At 37.2% G+C, this 17717-nt stretch overlaps 1 protein-coding gene across 20 annotated transcripts in view, besides 1 other annotated feature; it reads right to left on the reverse strand.

Annotated features, from left to right (window-relative positions):
- WDPCP (WD repeat containing planar cell polarity effector) overlaps positions 1 to 17717 on the reverse strand; it is a 721268-nt gene that overhangs the window by 451208 nt on the left and 252343 nt on the right. For 12 of the 20 annotated variants that reach the window (NR_148705.2, XR_007076380.1, XR_007076379.1 and 9 more), the window contains exon 1: positions 17431 to 17711. Coding sequence is in view for 16 of the 20 variants with exons in the window: in XM_005264348.5 (XP_005264405.1) it covers positions 17431 to 17505 (75 nt within the window). In the remaining 4 variants the exon portion in view is untranslated. Of the gene's footprint in view, positions 1 to 608; positions 861 to 17430; positions 17712 to 17717 lie in introns of those variants that run through there. The other 8 variants (XM_047444629.1, XM_047444631.1, XM_047444627.1 and 5 more) reach the window with 2 other exon arrangements.
- Positions 16876 to 17396: an enhancer, noted in NCBI's record as "H3K27ac hESC enhancer chr2:63814776-63815296 (GRCh37/hg19 assembly coordinates)". NCBI's record gives its function as "activates a minimal SCP1, AML or CMV promoter by ChIP-STARR-seq in naive H9 embryonic stem cells {active_cell/tissue: H9 hESC(naive)}" and the evidence as "EXISTENCE:reporter gene assay evidence [ECO:0000049][PMID:30033119]".

Genomic DNA, 17717 nt, shown 5'->3' on the forward strand with positions numbered 1-17717 from the left:
CTAGTCATGAAGTTTAATTCAGTTTTCATTTTCTGAGGTGGTATAATATAGTAGCTTGGAGCATAAACTCTGAAGTTAGACACACTGTGTTCAAATCCTTGCTCTGCCACTTACACTTTATGAAACTTTGGGTAAATTTTTTTTTTCTTTTTTTTTTGAGGTGGAGTCTCATTCTGTCACCCAGGCTGGAGTGCAGTGGCACGATCTCAGCTCACTGCAACCTCCGCCTCTTGGTTCAAGCAATTCTCCTGCCTCAGCCTCCTGAACAGCTGGGACTACAGGTGCGTGCCACTAGGTCCAGCTAATTTTTGGTATTTTTTTTTTTCAGTAGAGACAGGGTTTCACCGTGTTAGCCAGTATGGTCTCGATCTCCTGACCTCGTGATTCGCCTGCCTCGGCCTCCCAAAGTGCTGGGATTACAGGCATAAGCCACCGCGCCTGGTCAGGGTAAATTATTTAACATTACCATGTGTCACTTTCCTCATGTGTAAAATAAATCAGTGTACTATATTTACATATGCCACAAACCTCACAGAAGAATGTTATAATTTTTAAACTTAGTCATTTTTTTAATTGAGAGAAATAAATATATTTACCCATATACTTACCATTTCTGGAGTTCTCCATTCCTCAGATCCAAGTTTCCATCTGGTATCATTTCCTTTCAGCCTGAAGAATTTCCTTTAGCATTTCTTGCAGTGAAGGTCTGCTGGCAACAAAACCTCATTTTTGTTTATTCGGTGATACTCCCTCTTTCCAAGTATAGACTTCCTTTCAGTTTATGCCTGCTATGGTCACTCTCCAGTGCCTTCAGAGAGTTGTGGGTTTTCTGTATTTTGTCCAGAATTTATCATGGTTTTCTGTAAAAGGATTAGTTCAATATGACCTACTCCACCATTACTAGAAGTGGCTCGTATTTTAAGATGCCAGAAAAGTTTTAAATATTCAAACATTCTTGGACACAAGACCATCAGGTGAAAGATGAACTACAATGCTTCAACATGATATATTCATAGTTATTCGTATCATACCATAAATTAATTCATGTAGTCTACTGGGTTATAATTCAGCAACCTAATTATTTCAGCACTGTTTCTATTTTTCCCACATATATTTTATATATATTTTACTCTCTCCCATGTAAACTTGATAATGATCATCTGCCCAGACACATAATCATGTACTTGGTTTTTTCTTCTTCTCGCTTTGTTTAAAACAACAGAAACCAACTCCAGTAAACTTTAACAGAAAGGAAAATTACTGCAAAGAAATCAGGCAAATCACAGAAGCAGTGGACGTATAGATAATCAGGCTCCAGAGGAAACCAAAGGAGGCAAGGAATGGCAAAAATCCCATATCGTGTATTCCAGTCCCATATCCCTTAACCCACTGAATACTTTTCCTCACTCCCTACCACCATACTGCTAGACTCACAACTATTCCACAGCTACTTCATCTAATCTAACTAATCTAACACCAATTGTTTCCTTAAGAGTAAGCTCTCTGGGCAGAACTATCTGATTGGCTCAGTCTAACTGCCAGGAGTAGATAGGTAGAAACTACCTTATCATGTGTAGTATTTGCCCCAGATAAAAAGGGTATCCAGCTGTAAGTTATTTCTAATATGTTGTTATTAATTATAAATTGGACAGTAGGCGGGGCATGGTGGCTCATGCCTATAATCCCAGGACTTTGGGAGGCCAAGGTGGGCGGATCACCTGAGGTCAGGAGCTTGAGACCAGCCTGGTCAACATGGCAAAACCCCATCTCTACTAAAAATACAAAAATTAGCCAGGCATGGTGGCGGGCGCCTGTAATCCCAGCTACTCAGGAGGCTGAGGCAGGAGAATCGCTTGAACCTGGGAGGTGGAGGTTGCAGTGAGCCCAGATTGCACCACTGTACTCCAGCTGGGTGACAGAGTGAGACTCTGTCTCAAAAAAAAAAAAAAAAAAAAAAAAAGTTGGACAGCATAAATCACTAGCAAGAGAGTAAAGAGGGCAAAATCATGCAATATGAGAAATTTGTAAAAATAACTTGTCATGCTTGTTTTTTCCTTGGTTCAATGCTTCTAATTATTTTGGAGTGAAAAGTTATGCCCAACTTAAAATCTGATATACAAAGTTCTCATTTTTAAAACACATAAGGCAAGAAATAACTTTAGTTAGAAGAGGATTTCTGCTCTTCAAAAGTATTCATTGGCCAGGCATAGTGGCTCACACCTATAATCCCAGCACTTTTGGAGGCCAAGGCAGGAGGACTGACTGGGGCCAAGAGTCTGAGAGCAGCCCAGGCAAAATAGCAAGACCCTGTCTCTTAAAAAAAATAATTTTTTAATTGGCTGGTGGCATGTGCCTGTACTCCTAGCTACTCAAGAGACTGAGACCAGGATCACTTGAGCCCAGGAAGTAGAGGCTGCAGTGAGCCATGATCATGCCACTGAACTTTAGCCTGAGCAACAGAGCAAGACCTGCCTCAAAAAAAAAAAAAAAAAAAGGATTCGTTGCTGGATTCCTTTATATAACTGGCTCCCTCATTGCAACTTGTTGTGGGAAGTCAGGGGCCCTGAACGGAGGGACCGGCTGAAGCCATGGCAGAAGAATGTGGATTGTGAAGATTTCATGGACATTTATTAGTTCCCCAAATTAATACTTTAATAATTTCTTATGCCTGTCTTTACTGCAATCTCTGACCATAAATTGTGAAGATTTCATGGACACTTATCACTTCCCCAATCAATACCCTTGTGATTTCCTATGCCCGTTTTTACTTTAATCTCTTAATTCCATCATCTTCGTAAGCTGAGGAGGATGTATGCCGCCTCAGGACCCTGTGATGATTGCGTTAACTGCACAAATTGTTTGTAGAGCATGTGTGTTTGAACAATATGAAATCTGGGCACCTTGAAAAAAGAACAGGATAACAGCAATGTTCAGGGAACAAGAGAGATAACCTTAAACTCTGACCGCCAGTGAGCCAGATGGAACAGAGCCATATTCCTCTTCTTTCAAAAGCAAATGGGAGAAATACCGCTGAATTCTTTTTCTCAGCAAGGAACATCCCTGAGAAAGAGAATGCGTCCCTGAGGGTAGGCCTCTAAAATGGCCGCTTCAGGGGGCAGCCGTCTTTTATGGTAGAAGCAGTAGGGATAAAATAAGCCCCAGTCTCCCGTAGCACTCCCAGGCTTATTAGGACGAGGAAATTCCTGCCTAATAAATTTTGGTCAGACTGGTTGTCTGCTCTTAAACCCTGTCTCCTGATAAGATGTTATCAATGACAATGTGTGCCCGAAACTTCATTAGCAATTTTAATTTCACCCTGGTCCTGTGATCTTACCCTGCCTCCATTTGCCTTGTGATATTCTATTACCTTGTGCAGCACGTGATGTCTGTGACCCACACCCTATTCATACACTCCCTCCCCTTTTGAAAATCACTAATAAAAACCTGCTGGTTTTACAGCTCAGGGGGCATCACGGAAGCTGCCGACATGTGATGTCTCCCCCGGACACCCAGCTTTAACATTTCTCTCTTTTGTACTCTGTCCCTTTATTTCTCAGACTGGCCGACACTTAGGGAAGATAGAAAAGAACCTACGTGAAATATCGGGGGTGAATTTTACCCGATATCTGGCTGAATTTCCCCCGATAGCAACTGAAATAAGATTAGATTTAGAAAATCCCTATTTTCTTCTACTTTCTGAATCAGGACACAGTTTTTAACCAATCAATTTGTGCTTTTATACCAAGAACATCATTTTATTCATTTATAGATTCATGCATTTTATTTTAAGGTGCCTACCCTCACAGAATTTCCATCTTGGGTAGACATGAATAACTTAAAAACATGGGTAGACATGAATCAATTACTCTACTGAAGCTACTAAAATCAAGCTAATATGAAGTACCAGGGGTACCAGTATTGAACAATAAGAAAAAAAAATGTAAAAGACTGAAATTCAGTGAGTGTTTTGGCTAGCTTGTCCATTTGTCTGTCATTGACTAGGCCATGCTACAACTCAGTAGAGAGAAAAGTTGTAGAAAACTGATAATAATACAAATAATTCCTGTCCATAGAAATGCAAATTATGTCCTGTAAAATGGAACTGATTATTTCTCAGTGGATATTCATCAGTTTTGCCAGTTTTGCATTCAATACGTGGTACTTCAACTGGCATAATATCATTATTGAGTTAAATATAATCTTTGACAAATTATCATTTTATATTTTTTTGAGAATCATGATCATATTCACTTTTTAACCTTATCCTTTAAAAATGGTCTGCTTGGTAGAGGGTTAAAATAGAAAGACAACATACATATCTGTCATCAGTAATTCTGTAATGCAACCTTGAAAAACATGGCAAAGGAGGGCTGCCTAGGGGACAACTACCATAACAAAACAGACTTGGGATCAATACAATGATTATTTCTCTATGTTACATAATAGAAATAGTCTAGAAATGTATTGTTCTCTACTATAGATAGTATGTCTCTCTATACATAATACATATTATATACACATATATAGTATGTATATATATAGTATGTACATATATACACAGTATATATGGTATATACTGTATATGGTATATACAGTATATACAGTATATACAGTATATACACGGTATATACAGTATATATACAGTATATACACTGTATACAGTGTATATACAGTGTATACACTGTATATACAGTATATATGCAGTATATACAGTGTATATATAGTATATACAGTATATACACTGTATATATAGTATATACAGTATATACACTGTATATATAGTATATACAGTATATATACTATATAACTAAAGATCTCTTATTTACTATAGTATATATACGGTATACTACCAAAGGTATTTACTATACAGTATATATACTGTATACTACTAAATATATCTTATTTACTATACAGTATACTGTATACTACTAAAAATGTCTTATTTACTATATGATATAGAGACACATATAAAGTATACAGCATTCAGCATATACAAACACATGTGTGCGTATGTATATAATAGACAATATAGAAAATAACTGTGCCAATATTTAAATGGGAGATAATTTATATTATTTAGAATATGAATCCAGTAAATAACATGAATCCTAGACTAACTCTGGCATTTTAACTCTTCATCTAGTTGTAAACTATTTTAATACAATGAAAGCACAATTCATAATTTGGCATTAAGAGTTTATTTCCTTTTTACAGGCACACAGTTAAGTAATTTTATTTTTTCAATTAGACACAGTATAGAGACAGGACAAACCAAAGTGTTTTTCCTACCCTCACACACCACTCAACACATTTCTCATACCAGATGTACGTGCATTTCTCTGCACACTATAAGCAATCCTCTAGCAGATACCAAATGCGTTGTCCTATAATTTAAGTCAATTCTGACATTATCTACCTAGAGATAACATCGGATCCCACAGGTAACGACTCAGTCCCACAAGACTGTCCCCCACCCCCCACTTCTGATGTCAATCACAAACCCCATGTTGTGACCTGCGCATCTGACCAACTGGCTATATATCAGGGTTCCCATGAACCCCTTTTTGGGTTCAATTAATTTGCTAGTGTGGCTCCCAGAACTCAGAGAAACACTTTACTTATACCTATCCATTTATTATAAAGGTTACTACAAAGGATACAGATGAACAGCCAGATGGAAGAAATGCATAAGGCAAGGCATGTGGGAAGGGGCACAGAGTGCCATGTCCTCTTTGGGCATGCCACTCTGCAGGCACCGCCAGCTGTTCAACTATCCAGAAGCTCTCTGAACCCTGTCCTTTTGGGGTTTTATGGAGGTTTCTTTATGTAGGCATGATTGATTAGATCAATAGTCATGAGAGAATCTATCCAACCTTCAGCTTCTAGAGGTTGTGGGGTTCAGCTGAAAGAGCCAACCCTCTAATCACAGTTGGCTCCTCTGGCAACCAGCCCCCCAATCCTGAGGCTATCCAGGACTCTCCAGCTACCAGTCATCTCACTAGCATACAAAAAACACTTATCACTTTAGAGATTCCAAGGGTTTGGGTTGTTGTGTGCCAGGAACCAGGGGCAGAGACCAAATATATACTTCTAATTATATCATAAATGATATATAAATATCCATCATTAACAGGTTTCTCACAGGCAACTTAATAATAAAATCAGATTTTCATAGCCAGAAAAGACCATGTTCTTTTGAAGTCTTCACTATAAGGTAGTTCCACGATGCAGTTTCAAACATTCTGAATGTAATTTCAAATAACAGTAATAAAAATGCTTTTTAAAGATCCCTTTGCAATCAAGAAGTTCTAGTCAATATGGTAACTTAATTCATTTTAGATGCATATTTCAACTTTTTATATTTAATCTGACCTAAAGTGTAATTTCCAAAGTGATATTTCCTGAAGCCAAAACCCAGACTTCATGTCTCTAGAGTAATCTTGCCTTATATTAGTAAGTCTATATCCCTTCCCAAAGTAGTTCTGGCTGGCCTGGGCTTGTTGTAAATAATTGGTTCAGTCAGACAGCTTTTTAACTGTCAACACCCTTAACAATTCACACAATGTACATGGAAAGTATTGTACCTTAAATTAAAGATATGTTTCCTCTAAATAAAGTTTATTGTTTGGGGGAGTTTGCTGAATGGAAATGAAGCAGCTTTATGTTCTCTAGAAAAGAAGTGAAAAGGCATCTCATCTCATTTTTCCCTTCCTTTATCCCATTTCAAGCATGACCCAGAAATTAAATATTTTATGTAGACAGAAAAAGTAACATATCATTAAAGGATGCAAACCTGCAAAATCTAATAGTCATGTAAGCCTGTGAGATTGCCAAAAACTGTTCTACATTTTTAATATCTGAAAATAATCAAATAATTTTATGTCAAATACAAATTTTCCAAGCTCCCTGGTATATCCCCTCTAAAATTTTAAACAAATATACTTGATATGAAAAATAGCAGTTTATCCAAATATCAAATATTATACTGAATATTTGAACAGCAAACACAAACAGTCCTAATCCCAATCATAGACTATGTTGTGAAATGTTAATGTATTTAAATTTTTTAATTATACATGGAATTAACTTAAATACTGCACTTTAAACAATTAGTTATTAATATTTCATTCATATTAAATAACAAGAACACATGAACAAGTGATACCCAACACAGGAAATCTTCAAAGGTAAATTATACATTGTGGGAAGTCTAGTTTTGGCTTCAGGAAAATGTTAACTGCAAACAATCTACACAGATGTTCACAGAAATACTGAATAGCTCTTTTAAGGAAATACTAAATGATGCGGTAATAACAGAAAAGTTAAAAAAATACACTGTGTTATATTTATATCTCTTAATCAGGCCAAATTAATAAGGCAGACTCAATTAACAGTCATGGTTTCATAACAATTTTAGTGAATAATACAAGGTATCAAATTACTGGAAATCCTTGTCCCAGTTTTATACCAATTTTCAGCATTATCATTATTTAAAATAAATTTAAATAAATCTCACCATATTAGTATCCCGAAAATAACTCAAAAAGTAAACCACTTAGCTTATATTACCTACAGACAGCGCACAGCTCTGAGTAGGACTCTGTCTTTAGGATGAAGAACAGGATGCAAATCCATATTGCCAATTATATCTATAGTAGCAACTTATGAAAACTGCACTTTCCACCAACCCTACCACAAGGGGAGCCACAAGATATTCCATGAAAAGAAATATGTGTTCTAAACATCATGATTCCTCTCCAACTGTGCCCTCACCTGAGTGGACTGGGAATGGGCACCTGACATAGCCTGGAGGTTGGTAAGTAAAACGGGAAACTTAGGAGGGGAAGCTCTGCCAAAACAACAGCAGCGATGAACTCCCAGGCCAATCTACCTCTGTCTCTCTAAGGAACTATGGACACCCAGATAATTAAGAGCAAGAAGAAAAGCAGAAAGATTTTAAAAATTAAGTTAGGTTATTGATAAAACACTAGAATTAAGATCTGTGGACTGCCGAAGCTAGGACAGGTAACACAGAACCCATAACATTTTGAGATTCTAGAATGGCCTATCGATTCTATTCTCCATGAGATTCACTTATTCTTAATGAGGCTCAAATAATGGCCCTATTTGTTCCTATTTAGGAGAGGAGAGAATAGGATTGGAATCTCACAGTTTGGCTTTCCCTGGGTTCCCCTGAGGTCTTCCTAAGTGGCCAAGATTTGTCTCTTATTATCATGCATATCCTTACACTATAGCATCCTATGACAAAGCATCTGAGGTGGTCTCTGTTCCTTACGTTCTCCAGAAAATAATTGAAAGGGCATCTTATATCACTTTTCACTAAAAGTGCTAAATAGAAGATCATGTGTGCTCTAAACATAAGTCTTCTCCAACAGTGCCCCACACATAAACCTGAATGGACTAGGAATGGGCACCTCACACAGTCTGGAGGCCAGTAAATAAGTGTTAAATAAAAGATGCTAAATCAAAGATCATCTGTCTTGATGTTTAGCTCATTTCCTCTTATTAAGTCATGCCAAATTAGAAAAAAGTCATCAACTGGTTGGGCACAGTGGTTCATGCCTGTAATCACAGCACTTCGGGAGGCCAAGGTGGGTGGATCACTGGAGGTCAGGAGTTTGAGACCAGCCTGGCCAACATGGTGAAACTCTATCTCTACTAAAAGTACAAAACATAGCTGGGTGTGGTGGCACACACCTGTAGTCCCAGCTACTCAGGAGGCTGAGGCAGGAGAATCACTTGAACCCAGGAGGCAGAGGTTGTGGTGAGTCAACATCACTCCATTGCACTCCAGCCTGGGCAACAGAGCTAGACTCCATCTCAAACAAAAAGAAAAAGAAAAAGAAAAAATCATCAACAATCACTTAAAGAAAAACAAAGCCTTTCGTACTGATGCAATCCACTGAATAAAATGAGAAGTCATGAATCCAAATGGAGTAGATAGATTAGATAGGTAGGTAGGCAGGTAGGTAGATACACAGATAGACAGACAGACAGACAGACAAGATAGATAATGCTAGTTTGGATGTCTACACCAAATCTCATGTTGAAATTTGATGCTATTGTAATAGTATTAAAAGGTGGGGACTTTAAGAGGTGATTAGGTCATGAGGGTTCTGTCCTCATAAACTGGTTAATGTTGCTATCAGGAGAATGGGTTAATTATTGTGGGAGCGGGCTCCTGATATGTTCAGCCCCCTTCCTCTCTGTCTCTCACACTTGCTTGCCATGTGGTGACTTCTGCCATGAGATGACCCTCACCAGAAGCCAATGCCACACTCTTGGACTTCCAAGCCTCCAGGACTATGAGCCAAATAAAATTCTATTCTTTATAAATCACTCAGTCTGTAGTATTTGTTATATGTAGGAGCAGCAAACAAAGGCAGATGAGAAGGAAAAACTCAAACTTACAGTAGAATGCCATTTACTAAGTGGTGAAAAAATGACAGACTTTGAAAATCATTTTACAACCATAGTAATAATTGATTCAGGCAAAAATAATCAATAAGTGCTAAAACTATGAGTAAAAGTTTGGTGAGAAACAGGATATTAATGTAGTCTCAACGTATGTCCCCACTGATTATTAATTATAGGGGGAAGAAATAGTAATTTTATAGTAAAGAAATCTGGTGAATACCTTAACCAAATGATTAAAATCAACATCATAAATAATAAGACATACTGATTTAATGCTCTGATAAGGCCACAACATCACCTATGTAATCTTCCTCCCAAAAATGCAAGCCTGAATTTAACCACAAAAAAACATCAAACAAACCCAAATTGAGGGATGGTCTCCAAAAAACTAGCCTATACTCTTCAGAAATGTCAATGTCATGAAAGACAAAGAGGGCCAATAAACTGTTCCAGATTACAGGAGATTAAAGAGATATGACATCTAAATTAAATGCACAATCCTGTATGAGGGGAAAAACATTATGAGACATTACTGAGACAACTGGCAGCGTGTCAACAGGAGAGTATATTAGATACTTGTACACATCAATGTTAAGTTTCTTAACTGTATAATGGTTAAGCAAAAGAATGCCTTGTTCTTGGAATATATTCACTGAAGAATATAGGAATATAAAAGGACACATTGTCTGCAAGTTACTCTCGAATGATTCAGAAAAAATCAAGGGGATAGTGTGGTGGGAACATGTGATAAAGCAAATGTGACAACATGTTTAAAAGGTAAATCTAACTGAGGGGGCCTTAGAAGTTCTTTTTACTATTCTTACAATTCTTCAGTAAATTTGAAATTATTTCAAAATAAAAGACTAAAAAAAATAGCTGAGCTTGTAAGAGAGAGCACTTCTCTTCACCAAAAAGTAGGAACTAAAAACCAACGTAGAAGGCATACAAAGCTGTCTTAGAGCTTAGTTCCATAAGACATATTTCCATATGTCTTTGTGTGAGAGAATGTACAGTGCAAGGAAGGGGAAACCAGGAGTAGCCCGGCAAACTTGAGTTGAGCAGACAGAACTGAAAAACTGGAGAAGACAAGGTAGTTAGTTCCCTGGAGAGGGAGAATCATACAGAGAGAACTCCAGAGAATTTCAGAGGGTTCCGCTTGAGAATTCAGCTGAGTACTCACAGCACATGCATATGATCAAACCATGAGGCTGGAGAAAGAGCAACTAGAAATGATTACAGATAACAGTGCTTGGCACTCATATCGGGCTGGGAATAGTGCCTGTTCTCACCAGCCCGACAGAAAAACTTTGTGATTCACAGTCATTGGGTAGAGTACACAGAAAAGTCTTGGCTCAGGAGTAGGAAATTATTACCCCTAGTAGCTGAGCAATACTCAGATCCTGACTAATATTTAATAAATCTTAAAAGCAAGTTTTGAAAGAATTAAACTAATTTCAAATAATTTAATTGCATCACAGAATAAAGCTCAAAGTTATTTATAGAAAGATAAAAATCATTCAGGCTGGGCATGGTGGCTCAGGCCTATAATCCCAGCACTTTGGGAGGCTGAGACGGGTGGATCGTTTGAGTCCTAGAGTTTGAGACCAGCCCTGGAAACATGGCAAAACCCTGTATCTGCAAAAAACTACAAGAAATTAGCCAGGTATGGTGGTGCACACCTGTAGTCCCAGCTATTTGAGAGCTGAGGATGGAGGATTGCTTGAGCCTAGGAGGTTGAGGCTGCACTGGCCACTAGCTCTAGCCTGGGCAACAGAGCAAAACCCTATCTTAAAAAAAAAAAAAAAGAAATGTAATATTCGCAATCTGACATTTAATAAAAAAAATTACCAGACTTCCAAAGAAGCATAAAAATATGGCCCATAATGGAAATAAAAATTAACTAAAACCAACCCAGGACTGGCAGACATGTTATAACCTGGAGACTAGAATATTAAAACAATGATTATAACTGTATTCCACATGTTAAACAAATGTAGTAGACATGAAAGATATTTTTTAAAAGACCCAAATCCAACTTCTACACATAAAAACAATATGTGAAATAAAAAATATACTGGATAGAATGAATAGCATATTAGACATTGCAAAATAAAAAACTGGTGTCCTTGAAAACCTAGCAACAGAAACTTTACAAAATGAAACCTAGAAAGAAAAGATAATTTTAAAAATAAACAGAGCATCAATGAGCCATGAGACAACTTCAATCAGCTCAAAATACATATAACTGTCATCCCCAAAACAGCGCAAGAATCGAAGAGCACACAGAAAAAAGTATTTCAAGAAACAAGGTCAAAATTTCCCCAAATTCATTGAAAACTATAAACCTATGGATCCAAGAAGCTCCATGAACCCCAAGCACAAGAAACATAAAAAAGACTACACTTGCAAGGCACATCATAATGAAATTACTCAAAACCAGTAATAAAGAGAAAAATGTTAAAAGCAGCCAGAGAAAAACAGACACTTAAGTACAAATACAGAAAGATAAAGATGATAGTAGATTTTTAATCAGAAACAAGGCAAATGAAAAAAAACAGTGGATCAAGATCTTCAAAGTACTGAAAGAAAAAACTATCAATCTAGAACTCTATATCCGGTGAAAATATCTTTCAAACAAACATTTTTCCACACATACAAAAGCTGAGAGAATTTTTCAGTAGCCAATCCTAACCACAAGAAACATTTTTAAAAAGGAACTACATTAGACAGAAGAAAAATCATACTATATTAGAAATACAGATCTATAAAAAGAAATTAAAAGACTGAAAATAGTAACCATATTGATGAATATTTAAGATATTTTCTCACTAAATCTCTTTTAAAAATAATTGACTAAGCAAAAATAACGATGATGTTGTATGGGGCTCATAACATGTAAAAGTAAAGTGGTCAGGAAAGGAGAAATGGAAGTAAATTATTGGCAGGTTTTTATACATGAAATGGTATAATATCACTTGAAAATACACTATGATAAAGGATGTATGCTATAAACCCTACAACAGTCACTAAAATAAAGTTACTGTCAATAAGCCAATAAAGGAGATAAAATGGAATTGTAAAAAATTTCAATTCATCAAAAAGAAGGAAGAAAAGAAGAGAGAACAGAGAACAAATGGGACAAATTGAAGACAAATAGCAAGACGTCATTTAAATTTAACCTTGAAATTTTGAAAACCTGGCAGAGCACGGTGGCTCATGCCTGTAATCCAAGCACTTTGGGAGGCCAGGCGGGCGGATCAGGAAGTCAAGAGATCGAGATCATCTGACCAACATGGTGAAAACCCATCTCCAATAAAAATACAAAAATTAGCTGGGTGTGGTGGCACGTGCCTGTAGTCCCAGCTACTCAGGAGGCTGAGGCAGAAGAATTGCTTGAACCCAGGAAGTGGAGCTTGCAGTGAGCCAAGATTGCGCCACTGCACTCCAGCCTGGCGACAGAGCAAGACTCCGTTTCAAAAAAAAAAAAAAGAAAGAAATTTTGAAAAATGTAAATAGTTATTTTAGGGTACTAGTGTCATGAGTGACTGTATTCTCTCTCAAATTTGTTGTTCAATAATAAAAGATAAAGTTCTAAGTCACCATGTTTCATATAAAATAGGATACATATGAGTGGTCAGTGCCTGTAGTCCCAGCTACCTGGGAGCCTGAGGCAGGAGGATCATTCAAGCCCAGGCGTTCTAGACCAGCCTCAGCAACCTAGCGAGACCACATCTCAAAGAAGAATAAGAAAAAAAAAGAGTGGCCAGAGATATATGTATGTCTTAAACTAAAACAAAAAATAAAACCAGGCTATGTGCAGTGGTTCATGCCTATAATACCAGCGCTTTGGGTGGCCAAGGCAGGAGGATCACTTGAGCCCAGGAAATCGCGGCTACAGTGATATGATCATACCACTGCACTCCAGCCTGGGAAACAGAGTGAGATGGCCTCAAAATAAATAAATGAATGAATAAATACCCACATACTAACACAGCTTAAAAAGAAGTAGATCACTAATATTTTGAAGACCCCAGTACCCCGTCTCCTACTCTCCTCCCCAAGCAACCACTATCCTGAATTCTGATTAATCATTCCTCTGCTCTTATTTATGGTTTTACCAGATGGGTTTGAAATCGTGAACAACAGTATTTGTTGCAAATTTTTAATTTTTATAAAAATTAAATCATAATGTATATATTATTATATGGTTTGCTTTTTTCAATTAACATTGTATTTTTGATGCTCATCCATGTTGGTGTGTAGCTATATTCATTTTCAATGAATCCAATGAAAATGAATTCATTTTCAATCAATCCAATGGATTTCAATGAATCCATGTTGGTGTGTAGCTATGTTCTATTCATTTTCAATATATTTTTACATTTTCCTATTGATGGCCATATGGGTAATTTCTAGAGCTGTGCTCTTAGAAACAGTGCTTATGAACATCTTGTACATCTCTTGATTTAAATGGGTATGTAAAGGAATGGAATTGCTACATTACGTTTCCAGATATAATGATCACTCTGTGTTATTAGCCTCATTGTATTAATAAATGAAGATTTATAGAGACCAGGAAACTTGTTCAAGGTCACACAGCTAGGTAGTAAAGTTAAGACCAATAAATTCTGCTCCTTTCACTTGAAAAAAACTCAAGGTTAGGTAGCTCATACTTCTGGAAACATGTAATTATCAAACAGAATCCTGATGAATAATGTTTTATCTTGTTTAACTAAAGTTAAAAGAGGAGGTCCTAGCAAATTATTCCACTCAATTCTACCACTTGACCACTCAAAGCAACTTGACTACGTAATGATCATGATTAAAACTTTTATCCTATTAAAATATCCTGTATTTCACCATTCCTGAAAATTCCAGTCAAATGTTATAGTTTAAAATGTGTACAAATTGTGTATGTATAAAATTGTAAGACATAGTAATAAAGTGGTTCTCATTGAGACTACAGTTTTAAATTAAATTACAAGCACTTTTATTTTTGCCATAACTAAATTTGGAATTACTACGTTTAAGATTCACTAAAGTGAATGTAATAATTATTTTTAAAATACTACATATTCATTTTAAGAAATTACTTGAGAATACTTTCAAAAATGTCCTGCATGTCACTTAAGCCAACAAATAATTTCCAAGATACCTAGCATTACACTTAAATTTTAAAAAGGGTAAAAAGCCAAAGTTTTTTTTTTCAGCTAAGGTCAACTATTTAGCTCTGCAATCTTTCCTTTAAAAAATATTTGTAATAATTTGGTCTCTGATTTATTTCACAAGTCTTAACCTTGCTTTATAAATAATCCTATTTTCAATCACACTCCATTATCTAACATGGCTGTTTACTAAATACATGATCCTATGGTAAAGTACATATTTCTAAAAATGTAGCTACTTAGACAGACAGCAATGTAAAGGCATCTTTACATTATAGTACTCTCTAAATATTACATTGTTACTTTCAACAAAAAGGAACCAGATTATAACAAAATTGTTATAAAATAGCTTAAAAGTGTAATAGAACTTCATTAAAGAAAACATTAAGATGAATGAGTTTTAACTAGATCTATAACAATTTTATATATGCTAGAGATAAAATTAATATGAGGTTAAATAATTTTCTTTTTTTTTTTTTTTTTTTGAGACAGGATCTCCCTTTGTCGCCCAGGCTGGGGTGCAGTGATGCCAGTGCAACTTCTGCTTACTGGGCTCAAGCAACCCTCCCACCTCAGCCTCTTGAGGAGCTGGGACTACAGGTGCACAACACCACACTCAGCTAATTTTTTAAAAATTTTTTGTAGAGACAAGGTCTCAGTATATTGCCCAGGCTGGTCTCAAACTCTTCGACTCAAGCAGTCCTCCGGCCTTAGCCTCTCAAAGTGCTGAGATTACAAGTGTGAGCCACCACGCCTAGCTGTGGTTAAATAATTGTATACTATAAAAAAGCATAAGATCTTGTGAGTTCCAAAGTGCCTTGGGTATCAAGAGCCAACATTCTATTTCAGAGATTTGAAACTTAATGATCCTTTAATATCTTTGCTGGATGTTGTTAGAATGGTATTTCAAACATTTTCTACAATTTGAATTAAATATTACCTTACTAAATAACGCGAGGCTGGGCAAAAAAAATGTTAAGCATAACTCCAAATATAGCATAACAGTTTAATGCTCTGTTTGTTGCCTTAACAAAAAATGAATGTCTGCAACACATTCACAAACCACCTGGAGATTCAAACTCACAGTGAAAGTGCAATGACATATTGTGCTACTTGACATTAGCTATTACCAAAGACGGTTCAAAAGGAAGAGAACACAGACAATCTTATTAGTATAATTGGAAATGTGCTGATATACCCACCTTACCAAACATCTTCTCTTGCAGTGTATTATATTACCTGAGAAAAGTAACTTACAATCAGTGCTAATATGCTCCTTAACCTGATTTACAAGGGCAACTAGCAATAAACAGAACAAGGCCCGTGAACTACCACACAGGTGACTTCAATTCTGTATATCTGGACTGGATGGGAATACGGGGGCTTACATGTTTGTGGCCTTCTTGGAGTATGGGAATGTCCTGTCCTGCTATAGGACTGCAGTGAGAATTCTGGTTATAAAAAGTCTCCCTTGTAAAATTCACTGTAAATCGAGGACAAAAATCATGAGATTGTTTTGTTATACTTTAAGTTCTAGGGTACATGTGCACAACGTGCAAGTTTGTTACATATGTACGTATACATGCCATGTTGGTGTACTGCACCCATTAACTCGTCATTTACATTAGGTAAAATCATGATATTTTTAAGGACAACAACATGGAAAAATCTTTCTGTTAGCAGCTAGTAGAAGAATTCATTTAGGAGGATAATGGAAGAAATTTTTCGTAACTGCTCAGAGTAAAAAGTAAAACTCAGAGAACCTAGGTTTGAGAATAATGCACACCTACTAATTCAGGACTAGACACATAAATTTGAGAGTTTTTGACATTAAAAGTAGCATTTGAAGTGATGCAACTTATGAATTAGCTCACTGAGGGATTTAGTATAGACAGAGAATACAGGCACCCCAATGTTAAGAGATCACAACTAAAAAAAATTTAGAAACTCCGCAGAACTGAGAACCAGTAACAAAAGAGGAAAACCAGGAAAGTATGTTGTCTGAGAGCCAAATGAATAAAGAGATACAAGGAGAGTCATTCAGGTATGATATTAATAAATGCTAAAAGTAAAGCATTACATTTCTTTCCAAAAATAGCAAATCCTCCAAACTGAAATAGAGAAAAATTGAAAGATATTACTTGGCATTCATTTATCAGTGACAGAGAAAAAACGGAAGTTCTAACAATGTTATCTAATAGAGATGTTTTATTCATTTTCATTACGTATATGCTGTGTATGCTACTCCCGAGCATCATATCTTCCTTTTAACATCCACAAGAAACAAGCTTTCAAAAAGCACAGCAATTCTCTTGGCAGCATTAATTTTAAAGAGAACCTCTTAAGTTGTTTTACCAGCTGAGACTGACTGACTAAACAACCAGTGTCTCCCCTTCAGTCGCCAGTCTTTCCTTAGAAATGCCTGTTTGGCATAACTTTAAGACTCAAGATGGTTTAAGGCGCATCCTGTTTCTTCCAAAAGGGAATGGACAAAACTCAACATTCACGGAGGGCTTAGAGCAAATTAGAACCGTATACTGTGACCTCCTGGAAGGGAGAGGCTCACCTCCTACAAAGTAAATGCTCAATAAATATTTTTGATATAACTCTGGAAGAGCTCCATTTGGGGTCGGGGGTGCACCTACTCCAGGGCACCACCCCCTCCAAAATAGCTGCATTCCCACAGCCCTCATACTCCGCTCAGAAAAGGGACCGGCGAGCTTGCAGGCATCCGCACAGCGGATAAAAGCAAAGCGGGACGGCGCACCAACCGCATTCCGGATCCTAAGGTTAAAAGAAAACCCCTTGCCCTCGGGCCAGGGCTCACCTGTCTCGGGAGTGGGGAAGAAGCGCGACTCCCGGCCGCTTTGGAGTAGGCGTCCCAGCAAAACTCTCGCCTCATCACCAGACACTACCCCGGGCAGAAGGTTCCTAGGCTAGGTCCTCGGACCCGAGAGGGAGCGACACGCTCGCTTGGTCTCTTGGGTCTCCAGGACGCCGCCGCCGCCGCCACAGTTTCCTCAGGTGCTACAAAGCAGCCAGGGTGTGCGTGCGCTCCCGCCTCGTCGCTTAGCAACCTGAGAAGCTGTCCGGTCGTCCCAACTTATCAATTCC

This window comes from Homo sapiens, chromosome 2, assembly GCF_000001405.40.
Source record: "Homo sapiens chromosome 2, GRCh38.p14 Primary Assembly".
Taxonomy (NCBI): domain Eukaryota; kingdom Metazoa; phylum Chordata; class Mammalia; order Primates; family Hominidae; genus Homo; species Homo sapiens.